Source organism: Homo sapiens, chromosome 21, assembly GCF_000001405.40.
Source record: "Homo sapiens chromosome 21, GRCh38.p14 Primary Assembly".
NCBI classification, from domain to species: domain Eukaryota; kingdom Metazoa; phylum Chordata; class Mammalia; order Primates; family Hominidae; genus Homo; species Homo sapiens.
Genome location: NC_000021.9, coordinates 26,537,685 through 26,563,813, shown reverse-complemented (window position 1 = coordinate 26,563,813; position 26,129 = coordinate 26,537,685). Strand labels below are relative to the sequence as shown.

Below are 26,129 nucleotides of genomic sequence, written 5' to 3'. Positions count from 1 at the left end.
CAAATTGGTTGGTTTAGGGCCACTTGACTGTCCTTGCTGAGGTCTTCCCCTAGTCACCAGCTGAAATCATCAGAGTTGCTGTTTAGCCCTTAATTCTGCTAACTTCAATTGCCTTTGCTGTTTTGCAAACTAACCATTAAGATTTGTTTATAAAGCAGTCACAGGAGCTAATTTAGTTGAAAAGTCTTATTTTTTTCAGTTTGCTCTCCTTTTTTATTTATTGTATTTATTTATTTATTTTTGAGACAGAGTCTCATTCTGTCACCCAGGCTGGAGTGCTGTGGCACAATCTCAGCTCACTGCAGCCTCCGCCTCCTGAGTTCAAGCAATTCTCATGCCTCAACCTCCCAAGTAGCTGGGATTACAGGCAGGCACCACCATGCTTGGCTAATTTTTGTATTTTTAGTAGAGAGTGGTTTTCACCATGTTGTCCAGGCTGGTGTTGGACTCCTGGCCTCAAGTGATCTGCCCACCTCGGCTTCCCAAAGTGCTGACAGGCAAGAGCCACTGTGCCCTGCCCTCTCATTTTTTTTTTTTAGATTCTTTCTATTCTAAATATGAGTGAATTTTGGCAAATAAATTCAGGTGCCCTTTTTCTTTCTTGCTTCTGCTAGGAATTTTAAGATTTACTTCTGTCTTATGAAAAACTTTAAAATTGAACTTAAAAGATGGCCTGTCTACTTCTGGTCATTATAGTCACAGATACTGGCTTTAGTATAGGAGAATCAGTATTATCCAGAATTTAATAATAATTTTTACAGTATTCAGCAAGTTTAATTCAATCTATTATTTATAAATGCACATTGAGTGCCTGCTACCATGGCAGTGGTGGCCTAGGTCCTGGGATCCAAAGATGAAAAAATGATGGACTCTGACTTCCAAGACCTCAAAATCTGATAAGAAAAGAGAGCATAGACAAATAATTCTAATTCAAAGAGCTAATCTATGAAGTATTATTGGAGGACTGGAAAGCTAAGTCTGTCCGTGTGTGTGTGTGTGTGTGTGTGTGTGTGTTTGTGTATGTCTCTGTGTGTGTGTGTTTGTGTATGTCTCTGTGTGTGTGTGTGTGTGTGTGTGTGTGTGTGTTTAGGAGGAGATGTTTAGGGAACAGATCATCAACATGGAATCTGATCAGAGTTTTGAAGGAAAAGTAGATATTTACATAAATAGTGAAGAAAGGGACATGGTTTTAAGACAGACTCTAGCATACAAAGTCAAAGATACAAGAAAGGAAATGATCCAGTTGAGAAAGTCCCTACTGTTCAGTGTGGCTAGTGGGGAACGAGTAACCTTTGAATATATGTAGGAATATGTAGGTCAGACAAAAGATAGATCCTTTAATGATGTGCTTTTGTTGGTCATGCCTAGCAAAACTGAAACAAAATAATTCAGTACTTTTCTGGAAATCAGATATCCGATTTTATATAGAACCGACACATTCTTAGGCATCATTAAGACAATAGACAAAGATAAGAAGGCTCCAAATGAAGTTGCTTTTTATTTATTCCATAAATGAAATATTTGGAATGCAAACTTTGAGATGTTACACTATTTGAAACCATTTATGACAAACTATGTGACCTTATAATTATTTCTCCATTTAAGAGATTTTTGAACATGAGGGCAACTACCCGAAGATAGAAGCCTCAGAATATTTAAAAATGAGAATTGGGCCAATTCAAGAAATAAACAATTTCCCACCAGATTGATTCTCAAACATTTGATTCAGCAACTCTGCTTCATGGAAGATAGATCTGTGATGAATATGGAAAGGGATGTTTAACTTTTTGCTGCTAATGAGATTTAATTGGCATTCCCCAGAAAGTAGATCCAGTGTAAAAATGTGGTTTATAGAGTCCTCTTCGGAGTTGGTAGAATTTAAGGGAATAGAGGGTGCAATTGAGTGGTTAATTACTGTTATCCAGTAGAACAAGCTAAACATGGAACTGAAGTAAAGTTGAGGAAAATGAAGGTATTCTCTTTTGTAAGAGAATAATTGTACAATACTGAATATGAACAAAATATTGACTAGTTTGGACATAGTGAGCTAGATGACAATATATCGCATTTAATTTCCTAACTCAAAAATAGATTTTGCTTTTCCACTTTGCCATTGTAAAGCACTCATCGGTCTGTGGATTCTTCAGAGCCCCATCTGGCCAACATAAAATCCCCACAGGAAAAAAAACCAAGAGGGAGAACTAATAATGGAGATCCTGGTGAGATTAAATTTCTTTTCTTCTCAATGAAATGTGAAAGATGTATTACCCGCAGTTTGGCAAAGACAGCTAATAAATATCACAACCGTGATTTGAGAGCCATGCTATGCATGAAAGCAAAACTGAGTTAAAAGATAAAGGTTTCATATTTTCGAGTGGCATTTGAGGTCCTATGATCATTAAGTATCTTAGTGTTCTGGATTAATCAGGTAAGGCTATTCAAACACTGACAAACGTAACGCATTTAAAAAGGCCTTTGGCATTAGTAAAAAAAAAAAAAACCATTTAAATTAATTAAGTTAAAATAATCTTAGTAATTAGATATGAAAAGACCTCTAGGAGGTACATACTGAAGAAATCAAAGCTTGTGGGAGTCTTATTTTTGTTTTAATAATGACACAGATAAGTAACTAATATGATGTTAAAATAAATATGAACTTGATTTAGAATGTAGCAACAACTTATGTTTGCTATAAGAAGGAAGTCAGTGATTTTCAAATGTATATTTGCATTCTATGAGTTATTGTATTAAAAGAAAATATAAATGTGTAGATAACTAAAACTTTTCTCAGTCCAATTTCTATGCTGTTATAATTGTCTTTGTAAATTAAGCCTAATTGTCAGAAACAGAATTGGTTTTGAGGAAGGAAAAATAAGGTTTCTAGAACATGTTTTCCACAATTTATCTTACAGCTATGTACAGTTTTTAGTGATCTACATCAGGTGCCGGAGGATATAGCCATGAATCAAACATCACGTTCCTGCCCTTGAGTTGCTTAGAAGCTACTGAGGAGCATAGACACATCAGCAGATGAACTTGCCACTGGAAGCACAAAATGCAGTGGGATCAGAGACGAGGAGCTTTTATTCCAACTTTAGATTGCTGGAAAGGCCTCTTAAAGCAGGGTAATTCTAAGATCAGTTTTAAAAGGAAAAGCAATTAAAGTCATCACTCAGAGTTAAAATGCTTAGCAAACTAGGGATATAGAAGAAAAAATGTTTAACCTAATAAATATATATTTTAAAAACCACCACCCTATCTCAGGCAGCATAATCAATGGTATGTTGTTATAACCCTTGCCTTTAAAGGCAAAAATATGACAAACTAGTGCCTTCTACCACTTCTAGTCAGCATTGTACTGGAAGTCCTGGCCAGTGCAATCAGCAAGACACATTTTTAAAAAGGTAATAAAGACTGGAAAGGAAGAAAGTAAATTGCTCTCATTTACAAATGAGATGATTGTCAGTATTTCTCAGACTATGAAAAATAACGGAATTCACCAAAATTGCAGGATATAAGATCAGTGTCCAAAGTGGTATATTCCTACATACCATCAACAATCAATAAGAAAATGTAATAGATATGTGCATAAATAAATCTAAAATACAATATTTAAAACTATAATATATCCAGTAAGGAATCCAGTAATAATATATGCATTTAGTGAGTATTATAACCATGTAAAAATTACAAGGGATAAAGAGAGACCTAATGAAATTAAGAGACATATCAAATTGTGGATGCAGGTATTGTAAAGATGTCAATATTTAAACATGGCAGTTCTTCCTGAACTATCTGTACATTCAGTGCAATTCCAATCAAAATCCACAAGAACATTTTATGTTGAATTTGAAAGAATGGGCCTAAAATTTATGTGGGACAGTAAAGATCGTGGGAAGAGAAGAGAGTTATGAAAAAGAATAAGGTCAGAAGATATGCCTTACAGACATCAAGATTTATTATAAAGTTATAAAAAAGAAATTGTGTGATATTGGTTAATGGATAAACCAAAAGAATTTGGAGCTTAGAAACTGACTGACGTATATATGGAAACTTGATGGATAACAGAAATGGCATTACAGACTAGTGGAGGTGGATAGATTATGTAACAGATGTTGCTAAAATAACTAGCTATCCATATGCATAAACATTAAATGAGATCAATTCATCACTCCACAATAAAAAATCCACTCTTATCAGACTAAATATGTAAAAACAAAAAGCAAACAATTACATTTTTTTAATGGGAGGAGAATAGCATTTATGGTATCAGGATAGAAAAAATGTCTAAAATAAAAGATTAAAAAACACAAAAGAAAAGATTACTAAAAAACACCGAACTGTACACTTTAAAATGGTGAGTTTTGTGGGACGTGAATTATATCTTGATTTTTAAAATTTTTAATATAGAGAGCAACAGAATTCCTAGATAAAAATGTAAGGCAAACCCTCACTTGGAGAAGATATTTGCAATTCATATGATTCACAGGAGATTAGTATCCGCAATGCCTGAATAGGATAATGGGCAATGTGTGTGCACAAAAAAAGGCATAGAGCAGAAAACTGGATGGTCCATAAACAAGTGAAAGATGATCCACCTGGCTAACTAAAGCAGGACAAACCAACTTAAAACATTGAAATACCGTCTCATACCCATTGGGCTCAAATACTCCGTAAGTCTGATAGTGCCAAGCAATGTGGGCAAAGATAAAAGGGCTCTCACATTGTTGATGGGAGAACAAGAACTGTTCCACATAGAGAGCAATCAGACCCCATATAGTAAAGCTGAAGATAGACATACTTTAGGATTTAGCAGTAACACCTCTTCAAGATATATTCCCTAGGAAATTTCCAAATATGCCCAAGGAGACATTTATACTGTTGATTGACGTATTATTTAAAAAATAGCAAAACATTGGAAGCAACCCACACCTCCATCAGAAGACCAAGTGGATAGAGTATATTCGTGCAAAGGATACAGCAATTAAAATAACTCAGTTCATGTTAACATAACATTAGAGTAAATCTCAAAACGAATAATGCTGTGTGAAGAGCTAACTGAAGAGCAATGTGTACTACATGATGCCATTTGCATAAACACATAAAATAATTCTGTGTATTATTTATGAAAACAAACACATGTCATGAATGTGTAAATATCTGAGGGAGAGAAGAGTACCAATGAATTTCAGGATTGCCCAGGACTGAGAAGTTTCCAGGGATTCAATACTTTGAGTGCAGCAACCTGGATGGTCCCGGGCAAACTGAGACACATTGGTCACCCTAGGGAGGAGTGTTGGGAAGTGGCCTTCAACTCTGACATTTCATTGCTTAATCATGGTGGATTGCATCTGCATTCACAGCTACACGGGAGGCTGAGGTGGGAGGATTGCCTGAGCCAAGGAATTTGAGACCAGCCTGGACAACATAGCAAGACCCTGTCTCAAAAAATTGTTTTAAATTAAATATCTCAAGAAAGTATAATTATTAACATGTAATAAATCCAGGTAGTGGCATATGGGTGTTTTATATTATCTATGATTCTTATATGTTTGAAAATTCTTGTAATTAAAAAAAGGCAATGGAAAAGTTTGATCATGGTTGTAATGGAGTCGCCCAGACACCTTTTTAACATGCCGATTCAGACTTGGTAGGTCTGGATGGGGCCTGAAATTCTGCGCTTGTAACCAACTCCCAGGCATTACTGCCACTACCTATCTGCCCAGTACACCTGGAAAGCAAAGGTTGGTGCTATTTGACAGTGTCTTGTGCTACAGGATGAAAGGACAGAAGAGATTAGTACTTGAGGACTGATGGGATGTGGACCTAAGGATTGGGGCTAAATGAGAGGAACATGTCTGAATTAATTCTGAGGTTTCTGCTTTGGATAAGAGGCTGGATGGTGTGCTGAGAACTAATGGGGAATATTCAGGAAGGTTCAGAAACGGGAATGAATTCTACTTTTAGTACATTAAACAAGGAAAAGCCTGTAGGGTATGAACCAAACTCAGTGAGCTTCAGATGGTGGAATGTTCCATTCTGAAGCCCAGTGGAGAGCATGAAACATCACATATAGGTCTGGGAGTAAAAAGCCTGGAGATGCTGGGGTTGAAAGGTGTGTGGGAATGAATGAGATTTTCTGAAGAGAGGTATAAGAAATAGAACAGCAAGCCAACAACGGAGCCTTAGGGAAATTCAGGAATACACTGAGATTTCTCCCCTCTTTACATTCGGATGCTATTTTAGCCCTCTTTACCTCTATCAAAACTGATCTGTCCTTCACTAATCAACCTGAATACACTCCTTGTGGTGGTGGGGACAATCAATGCCTTTATTTTCTTCTATTTGCTTGTTGCGTTTTATGTTACATAAAATGTAGGATTTGTGATATTTCAGTTCATTCTGAATTGAATATGTTACCATAACAAAGCAGTCTATGTGAGCGCCCATTTTTATTGACTTGGATTGTTTCCAAATCAGATTACCTCATATCTGTTCATATAATCTAGGTTTAGGAGCTGCCTTAATTAGATAGACATCACAGTTGGATATTATAAAAGAAAGTGTTTTTGGTGGCAGCAGGAATTGTTGGAAGAAAGAGAACTACCATTTATTTAATGCGTTCTCTGTCACCGATGTGTAAAACATATAAGTTAATTAACCTTCAGAATAGTCCTTGTGACCTATGTATTATTCCTGTCTGTTCAGATGAGGAGGATGAGGCTCAGAATAAGTCATTTCGTATAGCTGCTATGTAAAGGGCTGGCATTTAAAATGAGACATACTTGGCCTGTTTCTGCTACTCCTCACTGGCTCTTGAAGATCTGAAGAAGGTTTCAAGATGCCATGAGTGAAAATGATTCATTGCTATCCTTTTGAAGACCTAAACGCTATATTTTGGAGAGAACCTTTTCTTACCCACTATATCTGGATTTGATTCCCTGCTGTTTGCTGCCGTAGCATTATCCCTTCTCTATTTGATAGGTTTGGATTTGTGTCTCTACCCAAATTTCATGTCGAATTGCAATCCTCAGTGTTGTAGGAGGGGCCTGGTGGAAGGTGAATGGATCATGGGCGTGGATTTCTCCCTTGCTGTTCTTGTGATAGTGAGTGAGTCCTCATGAGATCTGGTTGTTTAAAAGTGTGTAGCCCTTCCCCTTTCACTGTCTTTCCTGCTCTGGCCATGTGAGGACGTGCCTGATTCCCCTTCACCGTCTGCCATGATTGAAAGTTTTCTGACGTCTCCCCAGTCATGCTATCTGTACAGCCTATGGAACCATGAGTCAATTAAGCCTCTTTTCTTTATAAATTACCCAGTCTCAGGTATTTCTTCCTAGCAGTGTGAAGACAGACTAATACACTATCCTGTTACTATTTATCAGTTTATTTATGTTCCTTAATATCTGTCTGCCCTTCCACATTCCAGACCTAAGAGGACGAGAAGCTAGTCTGCCAACTCACTATCAAAGCCACAGGGCCTAATAGATTGAAGGATCCAGAATAGATTATTTAAACACAGATCAATTCTTCATTTAAACATGAAAAATCTGACATTTTGTGGGTTCTAAACTAGTGTTCATCATCTGGAAAAATATTTGCTTAGCAAAATCAAACCATCATTTGAATGTGTTATTGGTTTCAAATAGTATCTTCTCATGGAATACAGATTAGGTGTCATTACAGAGTAAAAGGAATGATAGAATCAATTGTCACTTTCTAATCACACTGTTTATGATAAATTATAATCAGATGATAGAGACTAGAATTGAAAAGCCAATTTGATTATAATAATTTAACCTCCTGTCATGTTTCTGGGTTGAATGTGCTCCATCAATGAGGCAATATGATCTGCCAGCCTATGACTGTTAAGACAACAGGCTCCTGTGCAACTCACCTTCATGATTTTTGGAGATAAAATGTTTTGTTGATAAAATTGAGGAGGGAAGAATTACACACACCCAGTGATTTTTATTCCATTATGTTGGAAGAATTCTGATGGGCAGCTGCAACCCAGAACACAGTGTCTCCCAGCTGTCTCCCAACTGCAAAATGTTAGGATGTACACACCCATAACTAATGAAAATTTCAGAGGGTGATGATAACCTCATAAGGTATAATAGGATTCCATCTGAAAGTGCTATGGGTGAAAGCCTCAGCTATTTAGCCGATGGTAACTCTGTGACTCAGAAACAAAGAGAATTTTTAATTTCAATATTCATGGTTACAGAAAGGAGAGGAAGAAAAAGACCCTACAGTAATAAAAAACAATTTATGCCTTTGCACAAATCTGGCAAAAATAGAGAAAAACATGACAAATTACTTTAAACATATTTCTGTATCAACTCACACTGTCAAAAACATAAGCAAAACTATATCTCTCTATGCTGCATTTTGCAAAAAATAAGAGCTACCTGTGGTTGCAAATAGCCAACTCTACTGTGTGGATACAACATTTTTTTTAAACAAACATCAGGTATAATGTAGGATCAGCCTCTGAAGTATTACACATAGAAATATATTAGAATTTAAGTTTATCAAATAAATGCTGAAAACTCTACTTTGAGGTTGCAGTCTCAAGTAATATTCATTCTTATATTAAGTAAATAGACCCTCTTGGCTTTTGCCAAGTAGAATTAAACAGGAAACAATGCTTTGTGATTCTATTCTTGATTAACAGTAGTTTTGTGATAGGAAGTTGTAAGAGAAATACCACAGAAAAATCGGGCTTGGGTTCCTGATGCTGTGTGAACTTAGATCTCCTAATATCACCGAGCCTCAGTTTGTTCATGTGTAGACAGGGAATAGTAACTTGCCCCCCTGACATATATATTTATACAAAGAAGCACTTAGAAGGGCTTTACAAATTTTTCCTGTCATTGATGAAAACATTGGGCTTTGAAAACATCTGGGTTTTAAGCTGGGCATGGAAATACATGCCTGTCATCCCAGCTACTTGGAAGGTTGAGGTGGGAAGGTTGCTTGAGTCCAGGAGTTTGAGTCCAGCCTGAGCAACAGAGTGATCAAAAAGAATCATAATAATAATTTAAAAAATAAAATAAATAAAACATGATGGGGAGAAAAATGACTTCTGCAAGGTCATTTGGAAAGTCTGTGACTGAGCTGCAGAGTGTCACTTCTGGTCACAGGCTGTCTCTCTGGCTCTCTGGACTTCATCAACAGGAGAGTACCACCTGCCTCTCCCCAGGAGAGCACTCTCGGCCTTGAGTGAAATAAATGGTGCCCTTAATCAAATGTGATTGCAGTCTGATAACTGCAAAAGCAGCTAATTAAGTACGGTGTCCTGCTGCCCAGTGGTTGCTGAAGGCATAATACTGCCTGAAAAGTCATGTACATTAGATACACAAGTCTGCCATGTTACCCTAGGCTGGCTTGTGAATTAGAGGGAGAAACCCACTCAGAAACTAGGAAATCAAATCTAAATAAAAATATATAAACCTGATTTATAGAAAAAAATTACATATATAATATCAAAAATCAGTGGGTAATGATTTGCTTTAAAAATGATTCATTAAAGAATTCCAATGGCTCATCTCCATTGACAATATGTCAATAAATAATGCACACAGTGGTGTTCTAACTGCCGGCTCTTTTGGCAGAGTGATCCTAGTGCTGTATAGATTGAGTGTTCCTTTGTATGTAACAGTTGAGAATTTCCCTGATTAAGCTCTTTAAAAAATTGTGTTAATCAGCAGTTTTCTCCATTTAAGTCAAGACTTGTAAGACTTAAAAGAACAAAAAGCACAACAACTTGCCTCCGATGATATTGTGCATAACCTACATTTGGAACAATCTCCAGACAGAATGTATTTTCAGTGGAAGCAAATAAATGCCAGATGGCATGCCAAATAAAAAGTCATTGATCATAGTGAGGATCAGCTGAGGTCTATCAATTCTAAAATGAGTTTCTTTTTATTCAGCCTGTTGGCTTTACACCACCAGCATAATATACATGTTATATATTTTGTTTAGTGTTTGTGGTAAAATAGCTTTTGTCTCATTATATTTAGTTGGGAGGGTTGGTTCCAGTTCTGAGTAAGATGAAGAAAACAAGCTCCACGCTCTGCCTCCTACTGAGCATAACTATGGAGAGCGTGGACAGAATGCACGAAGCAGCTACTTCAGGACTGTGGAAAGTAAATACTAGCAGGTGGATTGGGGAACCAGACAAAATTTGAAATACTGCCCAACTAGCCATAAATTTACCAGTTGTTTCCCTCTGTTACTCGACTTTGGACTAAACGCAGCCCAAAACATAGAAATAGGCTTCAGGACATGAACAGAGAGCTGCAGGAGAAGCCCTCTAGTTCTGTCTAAGTAAGCAAGCATAATGTGGACAGGGTTTAGCATCTGTGCCATCAGAATCCCAGAAGAAAGGAGAAAGAGTATGGAGCTAAAAAAATCCCAAGTTTGGTGAAAGAAATAAATTACAGATCTAAGAAGCTGAGGAAATTCCAAACTGGATAAACCCAATGAAATTCACACCCAGATACATCATAATCAAATTGGTTAAAAGCTAAAGAAAAAAAATTTGGAAGCAGCCAGAGAAAAACAAAACATTACCTATAGGGGAGCTGTGATTTGAATGACTTCATTTTCTCATCAGAAACCTTAGAGGCCAGGAAAGTGGCATATTTTTTAAGTGCCAAAAGAATAGAATTATCAACCTCTATATCAAGTAAAAAATATTCTCCAAGAATAGAGAGAAAATAAAGACATTCTTAAATTAAGAAAAATTAAGAAAATATTAATCCAGCAGACCTGATGTAAAAGTTCTTCAGGAAGAAAGCAAATGATACCAGAGAAAACATGGAATATCATAAAGGAAAAAGAAGAGTAAAAAATCAAAGTCCTGCCCCACTAGCAGTACTAGTTAGTAAATATGGTAGGCTGTTTTTCTCCTCTTGAGTTTGTTAAAATGCAATCGACTATTTAATGTGAAAACATATGATATGTATGATAGCACATTCAATGGTTTAGATGTAATATTTAACATGACTAGCACAGGAGGGGAAAGGTTAATGGATCAATAAGATGATAAGGTTTCTATATTCCAACTAAAATGATACAAAATTGATTCTAGGTGATGATGAAGAGTTAAGTATATATCCTGTAATCCCTAGAGCACCCACTAAAAAGAACAATAAAGAACTACAGAGTAATATAGTCAAAATCATAGTAGATCAATTAAAATGGATACTAATAAATATTCTTATAACTGAAAAGAAGGCAGAAAAGGGGAGTCAAAGGAATGAAAAACAGAGGGAACAAACAGAAAGCAAATCACAAAATGATATACCTAAATTCAAACATATCAATAATTACATTAATGATCTAAACATACCAGTAAAAACAGCAAATGGATTTTGTTCTGAACCTACTCAAATATATGTTATTCATTTCAACTCTACTGAAATAGCTAACTTAAGTAAAAGGATGGAAAAAGATATACCATGCAAATATTAACCAAAAGAAAGCTGGAGTGGCTGACAAAGTACAATTATACCTTGCAGACATTGTAGGTTCCATTCTGGACTACCAAAATAAGGCACATATGGCAACAAAGTGAGTCACATGAATTTTTTGGTTTCTTGGTACATATAAAGTTGTTTATACTGTAGTCTATTAAGGGTGCAGTAGCATTACACCCAAAAAACAATGTACATACCTTAATTTTAAAATAGTTTGTTGCTAAAAATCATCCGAGCCTTCAGCAAGTTGTTGTAATTTTTTTGCTGGAAGAGGGTCTTGCTTTGATGCTGATGGCTGCTGACTGATCAAGGTGGTGGTTGCTGAAAATTGGGGTGGCTGTGGAAATTTTTAAAAATAAGACAACAGTGAAGTCTGCTACATCAGTTGACTCCTCCTTTCATGAAAGATTTCTCTATAGCGTGCAACGCTCTTCGGTAGCGTTTGACCCACCGTAGAACTTCTTTCAAAATTGGAGTCAATCCTTCTAAACCCTACTGCTGCTTTATCAACTAAGTTTATGTAATATTCTAAATCCTTTGTTGTCATTTCCACAGTGTTCACAGCATTTTCACCAGGAATAGATTCCATCTCACAAAACCACTTTTTTGCTAATCCGTAAGAATTAACTGCTGTTATGTTCAAGTTTTATCGTGAGACTGAAGCAATTCAGTCACATCTTCAGGCTCCACTTTTAGTTCTAATTTCCTTGATATTATCACTATACCTGCAGTTACTTCCTCTACCAAAGTCTTGAACCCATCAAAGTCATCCATGAGGGCTGGAATAAATTTCTTTCAAACTTCTATTAATGTTGATAATTTAACCTCCTCCCATGAATCACAAATGTTCTTAGTGACATCTAGAATGGTGACTCTTTTCTAGGTTTTCAATTTACTTTGCCCGGATCCATCACAGGAATAACTATGTGTGGCAGCTATAGCCTTACAAAATTTATTTCTCAAATAATAAGACTTGAAAGTCAAAATTACTCTGTGATCCATGGAGTACAGAACGGGTGTTGTGTTAGCAGGCATGAACACAGCGTTCATCTCCTTGCACACCTCCATCAGAGCTCTTGGGTGACCAGGTCCATTGTCAAAGAGCAGTACTATTTTGAAAAGTATCTTTTTTCCTGAGCAGTAGTTCTCAGTAGTAGGCTTCAAATATTCAGTAAATGATACTGTAAACAGACATGCTGCCATAAGGGCTTTGTTGCACATAGGCACAGTAGATTTAGCACAGTTCTTAAGGATCCTTAAGTTTTCAGAATGTGCAGTGAGCACTGGCTTCAACTTCAAGTCAGCAGCTGTATTAGTGTCTGACAAGAGAGTCACCCTGTTCTTTGAAGCTTTGAAGCCAGTCATTGACTTTTCCCTGTAGCTATGAAAGTCCTAGATGGTGTCTTCTTCCAATAGGACTCTGTTTCATCCACACTGAAAATATGTTGTTTAATGTAGCCACGTTTATCAATGATCTGAGCTAGCTCTTCTGGAAAACTTGCCACAGCTTCTACATCAGCATTTGTTGCTTCGCGTTGTATGTTTATTTGTGGAGATGGCTTTTTCCTGAAACCTCCTGAACCGACTCTTCTAGCATTTAACTTTCCTTCTGCACTTTCCTTACCTCTCTCAGTCTTCACAAACTTGAAGAGAGTTAAAGCCTTGCTCTGGATTAGGCTTTGGCTTAAGGGCATGTTGTGGCTGGTTTGATCTTCTACCCAGATCACTTTTGCTTTCTTATCATTCATGTGTTCACTGGAGCAGCACTTTTAATTTCCTTCAAGAACTTTTCCTTTGCTTGCACAACTTGGCTCCCTGGTGCGGGAGTCAGCTTTTGGCTGTCTCAGCTTTCAACTTGCCTTCCTCACGAAGCTTAATCATTTCTAGCTTTTGATTTCAAGTGAGAAACCATTTTACACTTCCTTTCATTTTAACTCTTAGAGGCCATTGTAGAGTTATTAATTGGCCTAATTTCAATGTTTTTGTGTTTCAGGGAGGAGGGAGGCCTGAGGGGAGAGAGAAAGATTGGGAACAGCTGGTCAATGGAGCAGTGAGAACACACACAACATTTATCAATTAAGTTCACCATCTTATACAGGTGCAGTTTGTGGTGGCCGAAAGTAATTACAATAGTAACATCATCAAAGATCACTGATCACAATTACCATAACAGATGTAATGAAAAAGATATAGTGAAAAACAGATATAATGAAAAAGTTTGACATATTGTGAAAATTACCAAAATGTGACACAGAAACACAAAGTGAGCATATGCTGTTGGAAAAATTGTGCCAATAGACTTGCTCAATGAAGGGCTGCCACAGATCTTCAATTTATAAATAACATAATATCTGTGAGACTCAATAAAGAAAATACAATAAAATGAGGTATGCCTGTAGTTTCTTGAAACTCACCTGACAAAGGAAAATGAACAATCTGTTTATACTGACTTACACGGAGGGTAAAATGAAGTTATTTGCATTTTTTCTTATTCTTTTTAAATTTTTGTTTATGAGGCGTGTCAGTGGATTACAAATAATACCGTGGAAGCTTAGATTGACTTTACTGTAATTCTAAATCATTCAAAAGCTTGACAGTCCCTGGCATTTCGTACATGTATAAACACCTCAATTCGGATTTGAGATCTTTGAGGATCTGGCCCACACTCTACACTTTTCTGTAGTGCATCAAATACCCATTGCAGCCATGGTAGAAATATTAATTTAACATACAGCATACAGAATGTGCCCTGTAGGTGACATGACATGAAAACAAAGACACAGAAATAGAAAATTAAGAAGGTTGATCATTAAATTTTGTGATGAAAATGACTAAAATAATTCATTTTAAATTAGGTTTATTAAGAGAAATGTACAGTCCGATGAGGTGTGGGAAAGAATTTGGAAAGGGAAAAGAGTACAATATTAAAATGAACACTCTTTAATCACTGGCAGGCTTCCCAACCATGTTCATACATTTTTAAAAATTCATTAAACTTTTTAAAAGAATGATCCTGGCTCTTTTCTTCTAGTCTAAATATTTATGAGATGGGAGTGCTCACATAGAACTGCAGAACCCCAAAATTTATTGTTTTCTGGGTACATGAAAAAAGTAGCACATGAGAGAAAAGAGCTTATCCTGGAACGATGTATCCTAAGCCAGTAAAACCTGCTCTATTTTTCAGATTATGCCTCTAGGAAGACTAACCCCTATGTGTTTCAATTAGTCAACGGTCTGATTTAAAGGTCTGTAAAACTTGTAGTTTCTTTTTTTTTTTCTTTTACTGCATCATTTGTTTCAAACAACACTTTTAAGCCTGTATTTGCACACAAGGAACAAAAACATATTTATCATGTATTCCTGTCTTAAATCACATTCAAGCTTATAAATGTCTTGCAGTTGTAAACACTAGACCTTAATTATGTCTATTCAGTGAAAAGTAGAGATTTCACAGAATTTAAATTTGTTTAAATTAGAGATTCTCAGACTTTATTATGCACTAAAATCACCTAGGAGTACTTTCTAAAAATAACACTTTCCCAGAATCTAATCTAGAAATTCAGATCCAGTGGGTAGAAAATTAGGGTAGAAAATCTACATTATTATTAATTATCCCTCACTAGGAGATTCTTTAACCAATGGCCCTTAGACCACACTGCTCTAAATAACCCATACTGGCCGGGCTTGGTGGCTCATGCCTGTGATCCCAGCACTTTGGGATGCTGAGGTGGGAGGATAGTTTGATGCTAGAAGTTTTTAAGACCAACCTGGACAACATAGCAAGACTTCATCTCTATAAAAAATGAGAAAATTAGCCAGATGTGATGACACACGCCTGTAATCTCAACTACTCAGGAGGCTGAGACAGGAGAATTGCTTGAGCCCAGGAGTTCGAGGCTGTAATGAGCCATACTCATGCCACTGCACTGCATCCTGGGCACAGAGCACAACCCTGTCTCTTAAAAATAATAATCATTAGACAAATAAACCTTACCAAAAAACATTTCATTGTCCACTCCTATTATCCTATGTAATTATCAATTAAGGGATGTAATCAAACCATCATTTCATAAACTAATTTCTTCACACTTATGTAGACTTACATAAAGGGTTACTTTAAATTACCATGGTAAATATATTCAGAAGTATTGAAAATAAAATGCTATATAAAATTCATTTGTGTTTGATCGAAGTGATTGAATAGCTAACAGAGACCCATGGGTTCTCAGTAAGACCCCAAACAAATTTACAAAGCTTTGCCTGTGCCAAAAATAAGTGATAAAATAGTGTAATAGATGTAAAATAGTGATAACAGTAGAATCAGCCCCATAGGTTGCTACAAGGTTTAAATGAATTAATACTTATGAACCACTTAGAACATCAGCTGGTACTCCGTTTAGCTACTTTCTATTCTCTAATGTATGCTTCCATTATTCATACATGATGGGTAAATCAGGGAATGGTATTAGTATAACAGGAAAGTTGTATTGGTTGAAATCGAGGTTTCCTTGGCAATGGGAGCCAAAAAAAGAAAAAAAAAAAAAAGTAGAAATAGAATTACAACTTTCAGCAGGAAGGAACAAAACCCGTAACCTGAATGCTGCTCTAGGTGCCAAGGAAAAGCTTTTCCTTTGCCCTCTGAAGGTTCGTTGAAAATTATCTGACAAAAGTCACATTAATAGATGGCATATAAAATTATTAATGCGCATGGGAGAGAATCATAGAGTGGTTGCCCCACCACACATTGGGGTACAGATGGTTATATACCCTTATCTTCAGGGTAAAGGGAGATGGGGAAGTGTGGATGATCTTAGGGGGATAGCAAATTGTTTTTAGGCAAATTAAATGGGCTTGAAGAACATACAATGGCCTGGGACAAAGTCTCTTGGGCCCACAAAACAGACCATGGTTTGTGACAAGTCTGTCCAGGTGTGTTGACAGACTTCAGTCTTTGTTCCTCCCATATGACTTCAGTTAGTGAAAAATCAGGGAGGGGATCATAGGTAATTGTTTTTTTCTTTGGCGAGTCTGGACTTTAGCCAGATGAGGGAACTTCTGGGAACAACTTCATTCTGTGCTTGGAGAGAGACAGGGAATTGAGAGACAGGAGTGGGGAGAAGGTCAAAGGGACTTTGAAGATCCTTCAGTTGAGTATGTCAAAACACCGTATTTCAGGCGATCAGTTTCTGAGCCCGAACATTGCACAACCTGGACCCCTCTGTGCTTGATTTTAAGAAAAATAAAAATGAGTCCTTGCACCCTGGCTCCCTAACCAGAAAAATGCACCTTCAACCTTGCTCAGCTCTTGACTCCTGGCAAGTTGCACTTCCTCCTGTGCTCAGGGGCCACTTCCGCCTTCATTGTCTAGATGCTGGGAAGCTGGCATTTCCACTGGGTTGTTTTTGTGCCTTTTAAATGTCCTCTGAAGCAGCGTCGAGCCACAATGAACTTCCTCCCTGAGCTGGGCAAGTTATTTCCTGACGTATCCACTATTGTTGCTGTAGGGCTGTAAGCAGAGTAGAATCTATCCCGACGTTAATAAAGCTTTCTCTCTCGGGTTGGTGTACTGCATGGGCTTCTTCCTTACACCTAAGACGGTGCATTCCCATGGTCATGCATTTTGCAGCAGTTGCAAAAGTAAGATATTTAAATGATCTCTTTCAAGACTATGACCTCTTTCTACTTCAATTTCCTCTCCCTAGAGGCTTTAAAATGACTTCACCATTTGGGGGTTCCAGTTGGGGGAAGTGGAATTGTGAGTAAATTTAGTCTGCATTTAGTACATAGGTCATAATCACTTCCATGTATAGTTAAATTATTGCTAGCCATTCCAATATAGGAATAGCTCCCAAGCATGATCAACAGCCCACCACACCAACTCATTCAGTATTCTGATGCCTAGGGGCAAAGCAAGATCAGATGCCAACATGAATGTGTGATCAAAGTGACTCCTACAACTAAGCAAAATGGAAGTGATTGGGTGGTGATGAAGAAACAAAGTTTCAAAATAGGAGTCAGAAGAGAATCTGTGGCACAGTTCTTCCAAATACAATATTACTACTTGTATTTGAAAGAAATCTAACAGAAGTTTTCTCAAATTTGCTAACAATTCTAAATATTTACACATTACCACTAACATGCTGTGAGACTAAAATAGTTTTTTAAACCAAGAATAGCCAAAAGCCAATTACAATCCATCATGTTAGAGGACATACTATGTTATCTTTCTCTTCTCTGTTTGGAAAAAGATACCACAAAGTTGTAGTCACAGGAAAAGGAGCTCAAAAAATAAAGTTATTTTATTCTTCATTTATTTTGCTTCAGAAATCTCTGATATTCAACCTGGACAGCCAGGTCCATGTCTCACCTAAGAAAACACCATATTTACGTGCTTAATTATCTGTTTAATCTCTCAATTATTGAGAAGTGGGTAATGTAAACTATCTTATTTAATTAAGAATAAACTGTAATCTCAGCACTTTGGGAGGCCGAGGCGGGCGGATCACGAGGTCAGGAGATCGAGACCATCCTGGCTAACACGGTGAAACCCCATCTCTACTAAAAAAATACAAAAAAAATTAGCCGGGCGTGGTGGCAGGCGCCTGTAGTCCCAGCTACTGGGGAGGCTGAGGTGGGCTTTCTTACAGGAGACTGGCGTGAACCCGGGAGGCGGAGCTTGCAGTGAGCCGAGATCGCACCACTGAACTCCAGCCTGGGCGAGACTCCGTCTCAAAAAAAAAAAAAAAAAAAAAAAAAAGAATAAGCATCTTATTAACCAGAAGGTAGAAACCATTACACAGTCCAACCGTAAGCCTGTACTATCACTCATTAACCTTGCCACCTTGGAATTAAACTTTCAGGTTGCTTATTATTATCTTTCTATGAGAAAAGAAGACGAAGAAGCCTGAAGGACAGGGTGATGTGGATGCTGCTTCCCACTGGATGGTCAGGGATGAACACAGAAGAGGCCCTGAGGAGGTGACATCTGAGTAGAGAACAGAACAAAATGACTTAAGTCAGCCACGTGAATATTTAGAACAATTCCATTCTACCAAGTGGGAGGCAAACCCAGAGACTCTAAACAGGCCATGATACATGAGAAAATTGAACCTTAAAAATAAGATAGTTCAAATTAACACAAATACTTTTTATTTGTAATAAAATATATTATATAATTTCAATAAAAAAGTAATATGTTTGTCAAATTAGGAATTAAAAAGGGACTGGTATATCTAGTAGAGAAATGTTGTCATTTAATGTGTTCTGAAACATTTAATCTACTCTGAAATGATTTGGGAGTTGAGGTAAATTATCCTTTACATGTCATTTTATACTCAAATCATAATTTATCTTTTTCTTTTTTGTTTTTGTTTTTGTTGAGATAGGGTCTCACTCTGTTGCCCAGGCTGGAGGGCAGTGGGGTAATCACAGTTTCTTTGCCCAGGCTGGTCTGGAACTCCTAGGATCCACCTCAACCTCCCAAAGTGCTGGGATTACAGGCATGAGCCACCTTTCTCGGCCTTTCTTATTATTTAAATATTTAAACCCATATATTCACAATTCAAAAATATAGAGATAGATGTTGTTTTTACTTACAAGATCATCCTTTAGAATTTATTTAAATAATGTTTAATAATTTTAATACAATTCTCTTTCCTCTGACATTATCATCGATCCGTGTTTCTTCAGGGTCACCAGGATGTATACCCTTCAAAAGCATCATTAGAGATGGGCCCTGACTGTAGAGTTTGTGAAATTTAGTTCTGTAAGTCAAAAGAGATTTATAAACACGGCATTCTTATGGTAGACATTTAGCTAATAAATCCTAAATCAGTTTTGATTTATAAATCCTTTTATTGCCCTTGGGATTCAGGTGACTGATTTATGAGTCAGTATGCTAAAATCTATAATTTGACCAGGCATAAATCTTATTTTACGATTTCTGTTTTAACATATGATTCATAAATCCTGGTCAGGTTCTGTGTCTGGTTTTCTAAGCGCTCTGCATTTAACAGTGAGTCTTGTTAAGTTCATATTTTAGGATTTTGACGACTAAAAGTGATTATTCGTACAGAATTCAAGTAAATAAAAACAGCAGCTGAACAGTTTTCCTGTATTCTGGTTGGTGGATTAGTAGAAGTGAGCTTTAAATTCATTAATAATCTCAAAATGTTTTAGTCTTCAGAACGGTAAAATATCGCCATTAAAATTCTTCTTCACTGTATCTGTCAGACAGTTAGAAATGGTATGTTAGTGACAACAAGTTGTCTTCTAATGTCCAATCTCCCTTATCTAATATTGATATAAATTTAATAGAGCACAATAGCTTTCCAGGGTAAGCACTACAATCCCAGCCCTCCTTGCAGCTATGTGTGACCATTTATTTTATTTTATTTATTTATTATTATTATTATTTTTTGAGATGGAGTCTCACTCTGTAGCCCAGGCTGGAGTGCAGTGCCGTGATTTCGGTTCACTGCAAACTCCGCCTCCCGGGTTCAAGCAATTCTCCTGCCTCAGCCTCCTGAGTAGCTGGGATTACAGACGTCCACAACCACACCCCCTAATTTTTGTATTTTTTAATAGAGACGGGGTTTTACCTTGTTGGTCAGGCTGGTCTCGAACTCCGGACCTCAGGTGATCCACCCGCCTCGGCCTCCCAAAGTGCTGGGATTACAGGCGTGAGCCACCACGCCCAGCTATATGTGACCATTTAACTAACTTCAGCCAATGGTGCATGAGCAGAGATGATTGTGTGCAACTTCAGTACATGCTTTGCTGAGGTGCCAAAGTAGCACAGGTCCCAGTGCGGAAGGAAAGGAGCACAGGCCCCTGACATGTGGGTGCCATTCTTTGAGCCCTGCTGCACTTAAACCTGGACAGAGAGATGAAGGAAAAAACAACCTATAATTTTTTTTTTGAAAAAGATTATTTTACTGTCTCTTTCTACATTGAATTGAATATCATAACTTTTTAAAATTTTATTTTTATTTTAAGTTCTGGGGTACATGTGCAGGTTTGTTACATAGGTAAACATGTGCCATGGTGGTTTGCTGCACCTGTCAACCCACCACTTAGGTATTAAGCCCGGCGTGCATTAGCTGTTTTTCCTACTGCTCTTCCTCCCCGCATCCACCACGCAACAGACTCCAGTGTGTGCCGTTCCCCTCCCTGTGTCCCTGTGTTCTCCTTGTTCAGCTCCTACTTCTAAGTGAGAACATGCAGACATGCAGTGTTTGGTTTTCTGTTCCTGTGTTAGTTTGCTAAGGAATTTTTAAAGACTTTAACTTGAATCTTTTTATAGCAGACAAACATTCTTTAGCTTTTCAAAAAATTGTGTTGAATATATCATTTAGGCATTGGGCTAAACATTGTGAAAATGAAGGTAAATGTGAGTCAGTCCTTGCCTTTGTTAAATTTCCTAAATAGTAATTTGCTTCTTAACACCCTAATACATGGAATTGTTATTAATTTTGTTTTCTAGTTGTTTGTTGCTGCAGAGTATGAAAATACAATTGGTGTTAGTGTATTGATCATATATAAAACAACATTGCTAAATTCACTTTGTACATCTAGTAATTACTTTATACATTGATTAGGATTTTCTATGTAAAAAAAATCTTATCTGCAAATAGAGTTTTACTTCTTTCTGATCTGTATGCCTTTTAATTCTTTTTGGTTTTTACTTTATGTCTCTGGAAATATTGACTAGAAGTTGTTGGAGTAGGTATCTTTGCCTTGTTCTGGAACATAGGAAAAAAACAATTAAGCATGATGCTAATTGTAATGTTTTTCATTGATTCTTTTTATCGGATTGAGGAAATTTCTTTCTGTTCCTAATTCGCTGAGAGTTCTGTAATGAATGGAGGTTGAATTTCATCAAACGCTTTTTGCATCTGTTGAAATGATCGCATGTTTAGGTCTCTTGTAAGGTGAAATATATTGATAAATTTTCAAAATTTAAATGATGTTTGCATTCCTGGGAAAATATATCTCTGACACACACACACACACACACACACACACACACACACGCACACACACACATATTCTCTCTCTCTCTCTTTCTCTCTCCCGCCCCGCCCCCGTCCCCCACCTTCTTATGCTGTTTATGTTGCATGGTATAATAGAATATCTTCCCAGCCCTTAAGGGAGTTTCTGTATTCAGAGGGCATCTACTTGATTTTTTTGTATTCAAAGTACCTTTCATGTAGACAACAAATAGTTCATGCTTTTTAAGTAATTCTGACAATCTCTGCCTTTTAAAATACTTCATTTCCTACTGATGTGGTGGGATTTAGTCTTTCAGTTTACTGTTATCTTTTCTGTTTGTCCCACTTGCTTTGTGTTTCCTTCATGCTCCTCTCCTGCTACTTTTGAGTTAATTGAAATTGCTTTTAGAATTCCATTTTAATTTATCTTGGCTTTTTAGCTTACCTCTTTATTTTATTATTTCAGTGGTGCTCTAAAGATTGCAATATGCACCCTTAATTTTTCTATTGAAAGTTAAGCACCCCTTCTCATAAAATGTAATAACTTTGCAATCCTATAGGTCTTTTACCTCCTATAATTAATTCTGTATTTTCACGTTTATTACATAAGATGCTATGCAAACTGTTATTTTTATTTTAAACAATCATTAGTATTTTAGGGAAATTAAAATCTGAATTTTTATCTGATCTCATTTCACTTTTGCTTGAAGAACTTCTGTTAGCTTTTCTTGTAGGGCAAGTCTACTTGAGAAGAGTTACCACTGTTTCTGTTCATCTGAAATGCCTTTATGTCATCTTTATTTCTGAAAGCTATTTTTGCTTCACATTGAATTTTAGGTTTTCAGTGTGTTGCTTTCATTTGGCACTTTTAAAGATGTCATTACACCATATTCCAGCCTCATTGTTTCTGCTAAGATGTCAGTGGTGATTTGTATTTTTGTTCTTATATATGTAATTTGTCTTTTTTCTATGGATGCTTTCAAGATTCTCTTTATCTTTTGTTTTTATCTATCGAATTGTGATATTTTCAAGGTGTCTTTTCTCTATTTATACTACATAGGATACGTGAGGTTTTTGAGTCTGTAAAATGGGGGAAATTTTTAAACATTCTTTCTTCAGATGTTGGGTTTTACCTGTTCCTGCCTCTTATCTCCTTGTAAAACTCCACATGTATTAGATTTTGATATAGTCCCACAATCACTGAGATTCTAATTTTTTAAATATTTTTTCTCTCTGCTCTCTAGATTATATAGTTTTGATTGAGATACCTTCACGTCACTGACTCTTCTTTCATCCTTAACATCTTGTTAAGCCCATACAATTAATTTCCTTTTGTTTCAGATATTTTATTCCTCATTTCTAGAATTTCCATTTGGTTCTTTTTTAAAGTTGCAATCTCTCTGCTGAGATTTTCTGTATATCCATTCATCACAAACATATTTTACCTTCTACCCTTGAGCATAGTTATAGTATCTATGTTAAAATCCTTGCTAGCCTGTTCTAACATCTGGTTCATTTCAGGATCAGTTTATTTAATTGCCTTTCCTCTTGACTATGTATGGAATAATTTGGAATTATACCCTGGACATTTTTTTTTAAAAGAATACACTGTAGAGACTGGATTCTGCTATTTCTCTGAATGTTGATTTTTATTTGTAGTTAATCTAGAAGAACTCAAATCCATTTTTTGTCACTCCTGCAGTGGGTAACTTCTAAAATCTTTGTTCGGTTCTTTTTAGCCTTAGATGGGCTGCTGGGAGTATGCCCCATGCGTGCATAGTGTAGAGGTCATCCTAAGATTTTCCGCAGAGTTTATGTGCAAAATGTGATGCTCTACCCTGTATAGTTTCTCCTTTGCATGATTTCCCCTCTCACTTTTCGTCTGTTTTCGTAGTTCTAAACTCTGTCCCCTGGTTTTTAAAAGCAGTACACCCCAAGGGTTTCTGTTCGGGATTTAGCTAACTAGCTTATTCTGATTGGGGCATGCCGTTAGCCAAAAAGCCTTATCAATGGAACGCTACTCAGTTCCATTTCCTTCTTCCCAGTTTTGATTCACTTCCAATTTATGGTGGCTTTGGGTTTCTCTCCAGGGATTTCAGGGAGTCTTTATACTTTCTTAAGAGCTTGCAGTTGTGATCCGTGGTAGGGTTATACCAATAAGAGCTATTCCACTTCTACCACTCTACCAAAAAAGAAACTACATACATCCTTTTGAAGAACTCATAGTCTAATGTCTTAAACGAAAATGCTGAAAGCATCTAGAGAGAGTCTGAGAAAAGTTCTTTTAAGAAATGGTTTCCTTAAAACACAAAAAAGAGGCCTTCCTTAAAGTGACATTGCATGTCAACCTTGTTTCTCCTCTTACTTTTATATTAAATCAGAGAAAAGGAGATATGCTATTATGAGAGGGAAAAAGATGCGAACCCAAACATATTAAAATGCTACTTATGAATGCATCAAAGCTTCTGGTTAAATAACATAGGTTGAATGCAAATGTCTATCTGTACTTCCTCCTGAGTGTTCACAAAGCAATGACAGTAAAGGAACTTAGGGGGCGGGGGAAGAAACCTCAAAAAGAAGATACCAGACAAAAGAAGCAACATTTTGAAATCTGGGAAATAGTTTAACCACTGGGAACTGTTTTAGACTAGAGAACATAGAGATCTAAGTATGTTGAGGCAGAATATCAAAAAGCTAATCCTTTCAACACAAAGCTACAGAAATCCTCAGGGATTGGAGACAATTGCTGCTTTAAAGGCAGGTGTGCAAAAATGGGAATGAAAACTACAGTATGGATTAAATATCTTTAAAATAGGAGTTAGACTTCTCATATTCTTTCTCCAACCCTGATGCATCAAGAGAAAACCTAGGGCCTATTTTTGGATTGGTTTTATCAGACAGTATTTGAATTTGGAAGACAGCAAATAAATACATTTTTGGTTGGAGTGTGAGTTACTGTGTTGAAATCAGAGGGATTATAGGAAAAGCCTCCCCACTGAAGAGAGATTTGTCCCCTGCTTGGCTCGTGAAAGGCTCACAGCCACACTTACGTACTTAAGGTTGGAGATGGGTGAACTGATTTCTAGAAAAATCCATTCACCCAGAAGTAAAGACCTACAGCAGGAATTTTTAACCAGCGAGTCTGTGAACTTGAATGAGAACAATAATTCATTTTTATTTTAAACTAACTTCTGAAAGTCAGCATTTCTGGCATCTTTGAGTATAGGCAACAAACCGTCGTAGTATAATTGGTACCTGTGACTTTGTGACCAATAAAAATCACAGTTGTTTTCGTATCACATTATTCTTTGCCTGTATCTCCAAATTGCATTTTCACTCATCATTGTTTCAAAATTATAGTAGTTATTAGATACAACTCTAAAGTTTATTAGGTGGTGCATTAATTAAAAGCACATATGACTATATCACAAATTTAATGGTTTAATAGTTTGAGAACCAGATTGTGATATAATTGGTTTCATGCATAGGACATAAGTCTAAAACAGGATCCTAGACTTTACCAGGCTGCCATGACACCAAAAAGTTTAAGAACTTCTGAACTAGACACAGGTATTTGGATATTTCCCCAATTAAAAATATGATACCACAGTAGCAAACCTACAGTGAGATTCACAAATTAATAAGCCACACTCTTGCTCCCAAATGGGGTTTTTCTGAGTCTCACTTTTATATATGACAGCTAAAGACCTGATATTTGATGAAAGCCTCTATTATGGAAGATAGAGATAGAGAGCAAAACAAAATAGAATCAAATAAAGAAAAAAGAGTGGCAAAAACAAAGTGGTGGAAAAATAAGCACATGAAAGAAACACCATAATTAAAATATTGAGAGAAATAAAAGACTATATTGCATTCATAAAACAAAACCAGTACACTACATACAGAAGAACAAAGAATAAGGAGCTCTTGGAAATTAAATTAAGAAAGATCCAATTAAAAAATCAACAGATAATTGGAAAATATTATTAAGGGCCCATTACCCTTTTCCTTCTTCCAGAAAGTAGACGAAAAACTCAAAGATTGGAAGTGGAATTTTATCCACTATACCACCTCTTAGTAAATACTTTCCAACTTCCACTTCTGCACACTATGACTTCACTGCAATGTCATCACCCACACACATTTACCTGTGCAGTGACAAGTTGTTGGAATTAAGAGAAGGTTAGAAACCAGTTAGTTGCAGTCAGAGCGCCAGTAATGTGCTCTTGCCATAGACTGCAATACCTGATGAAGGCTCATCTCCGTGGTGATCGCTACTCTTGCTCACTGTCTTAGTCCATTCAGGCTGCTATCATAAAACAACGTAGACTGATTGCTTACGAATGATAGAAATTTTCTTCTTGCAGTTCCCTAAGCTGAGAAGTCCAAGATCAAGGCATGGGCATATCTGCTATCTGGGGAGATTCCTTTTTCTTATAGATGGTGTCTTCTCCTCGCATGGTGGAAGAGGGATAAGGCAGTTTTTTGATAAGGTTGCTAATCCCATTCTAATCATCTCCCAACAGACCCCACCTCCTGATACCATCAAATGGGTGATTAGGGGTCAACGTATGAATTTTAAGGGGACCCAAATATTCGGACCATAGCACTCACCAAATATTTCTAGCTTTCTACTTACCAGCCTGAA

The 26,129-nt window shown here is 36.8% G+C and overlaps 1 protein-coding gene and 1 long non-coding RNA gene across 9 annotated transcripts in view; one reads left to right on the top strand and one right to left on the bottom strand.

Moving 5' to 3' along the window:
• The window catches only part of CYYR1-AS1 (CYYR1 antisense RNA 1), a 175,618-nt gene that overhangs the window by 5,439 nt on the left and 144,050 nt on the right, over positions 1–26,129 (bottom strand). Inside the window, exon 3 of the long non-coding RNA NR_135515.1 lies at positions 11,687–13,495. This is a non-coding gene — a long non-coding RNA (CYYR1 antisense RNA 1). The remainder of the gene's footprint in view (positions 1–11,686; positions 13,496–26,129) is intronic.
• Positions 1–26,129, top strand: part of CYYR1 (cysteine and tyrosine rich 1) — a 107,071-nt gene that overhangs the window by 9,473 nt on the left and 71,469 nt on the right. The window contains exons 4-5 of one of the 8 annotated variants that reach the window (XR_007067783.1): positions 2,122–2,219; positions 2,913–5,589. The exons of 5 other annotated variants lie outside the window; for them this stretch is intronic. The gene's annotated coding sequence lies outside the window, so the exon portion shown is untranslated. Of the gene's footprint in view, positions 1–1,605; positions 5,590–26,129 lie in introns of those variants that run through there. 2 more of the 8 variants (XR_001754808.2, XR_001754807.2) reach the window with 2 other exon arrangements.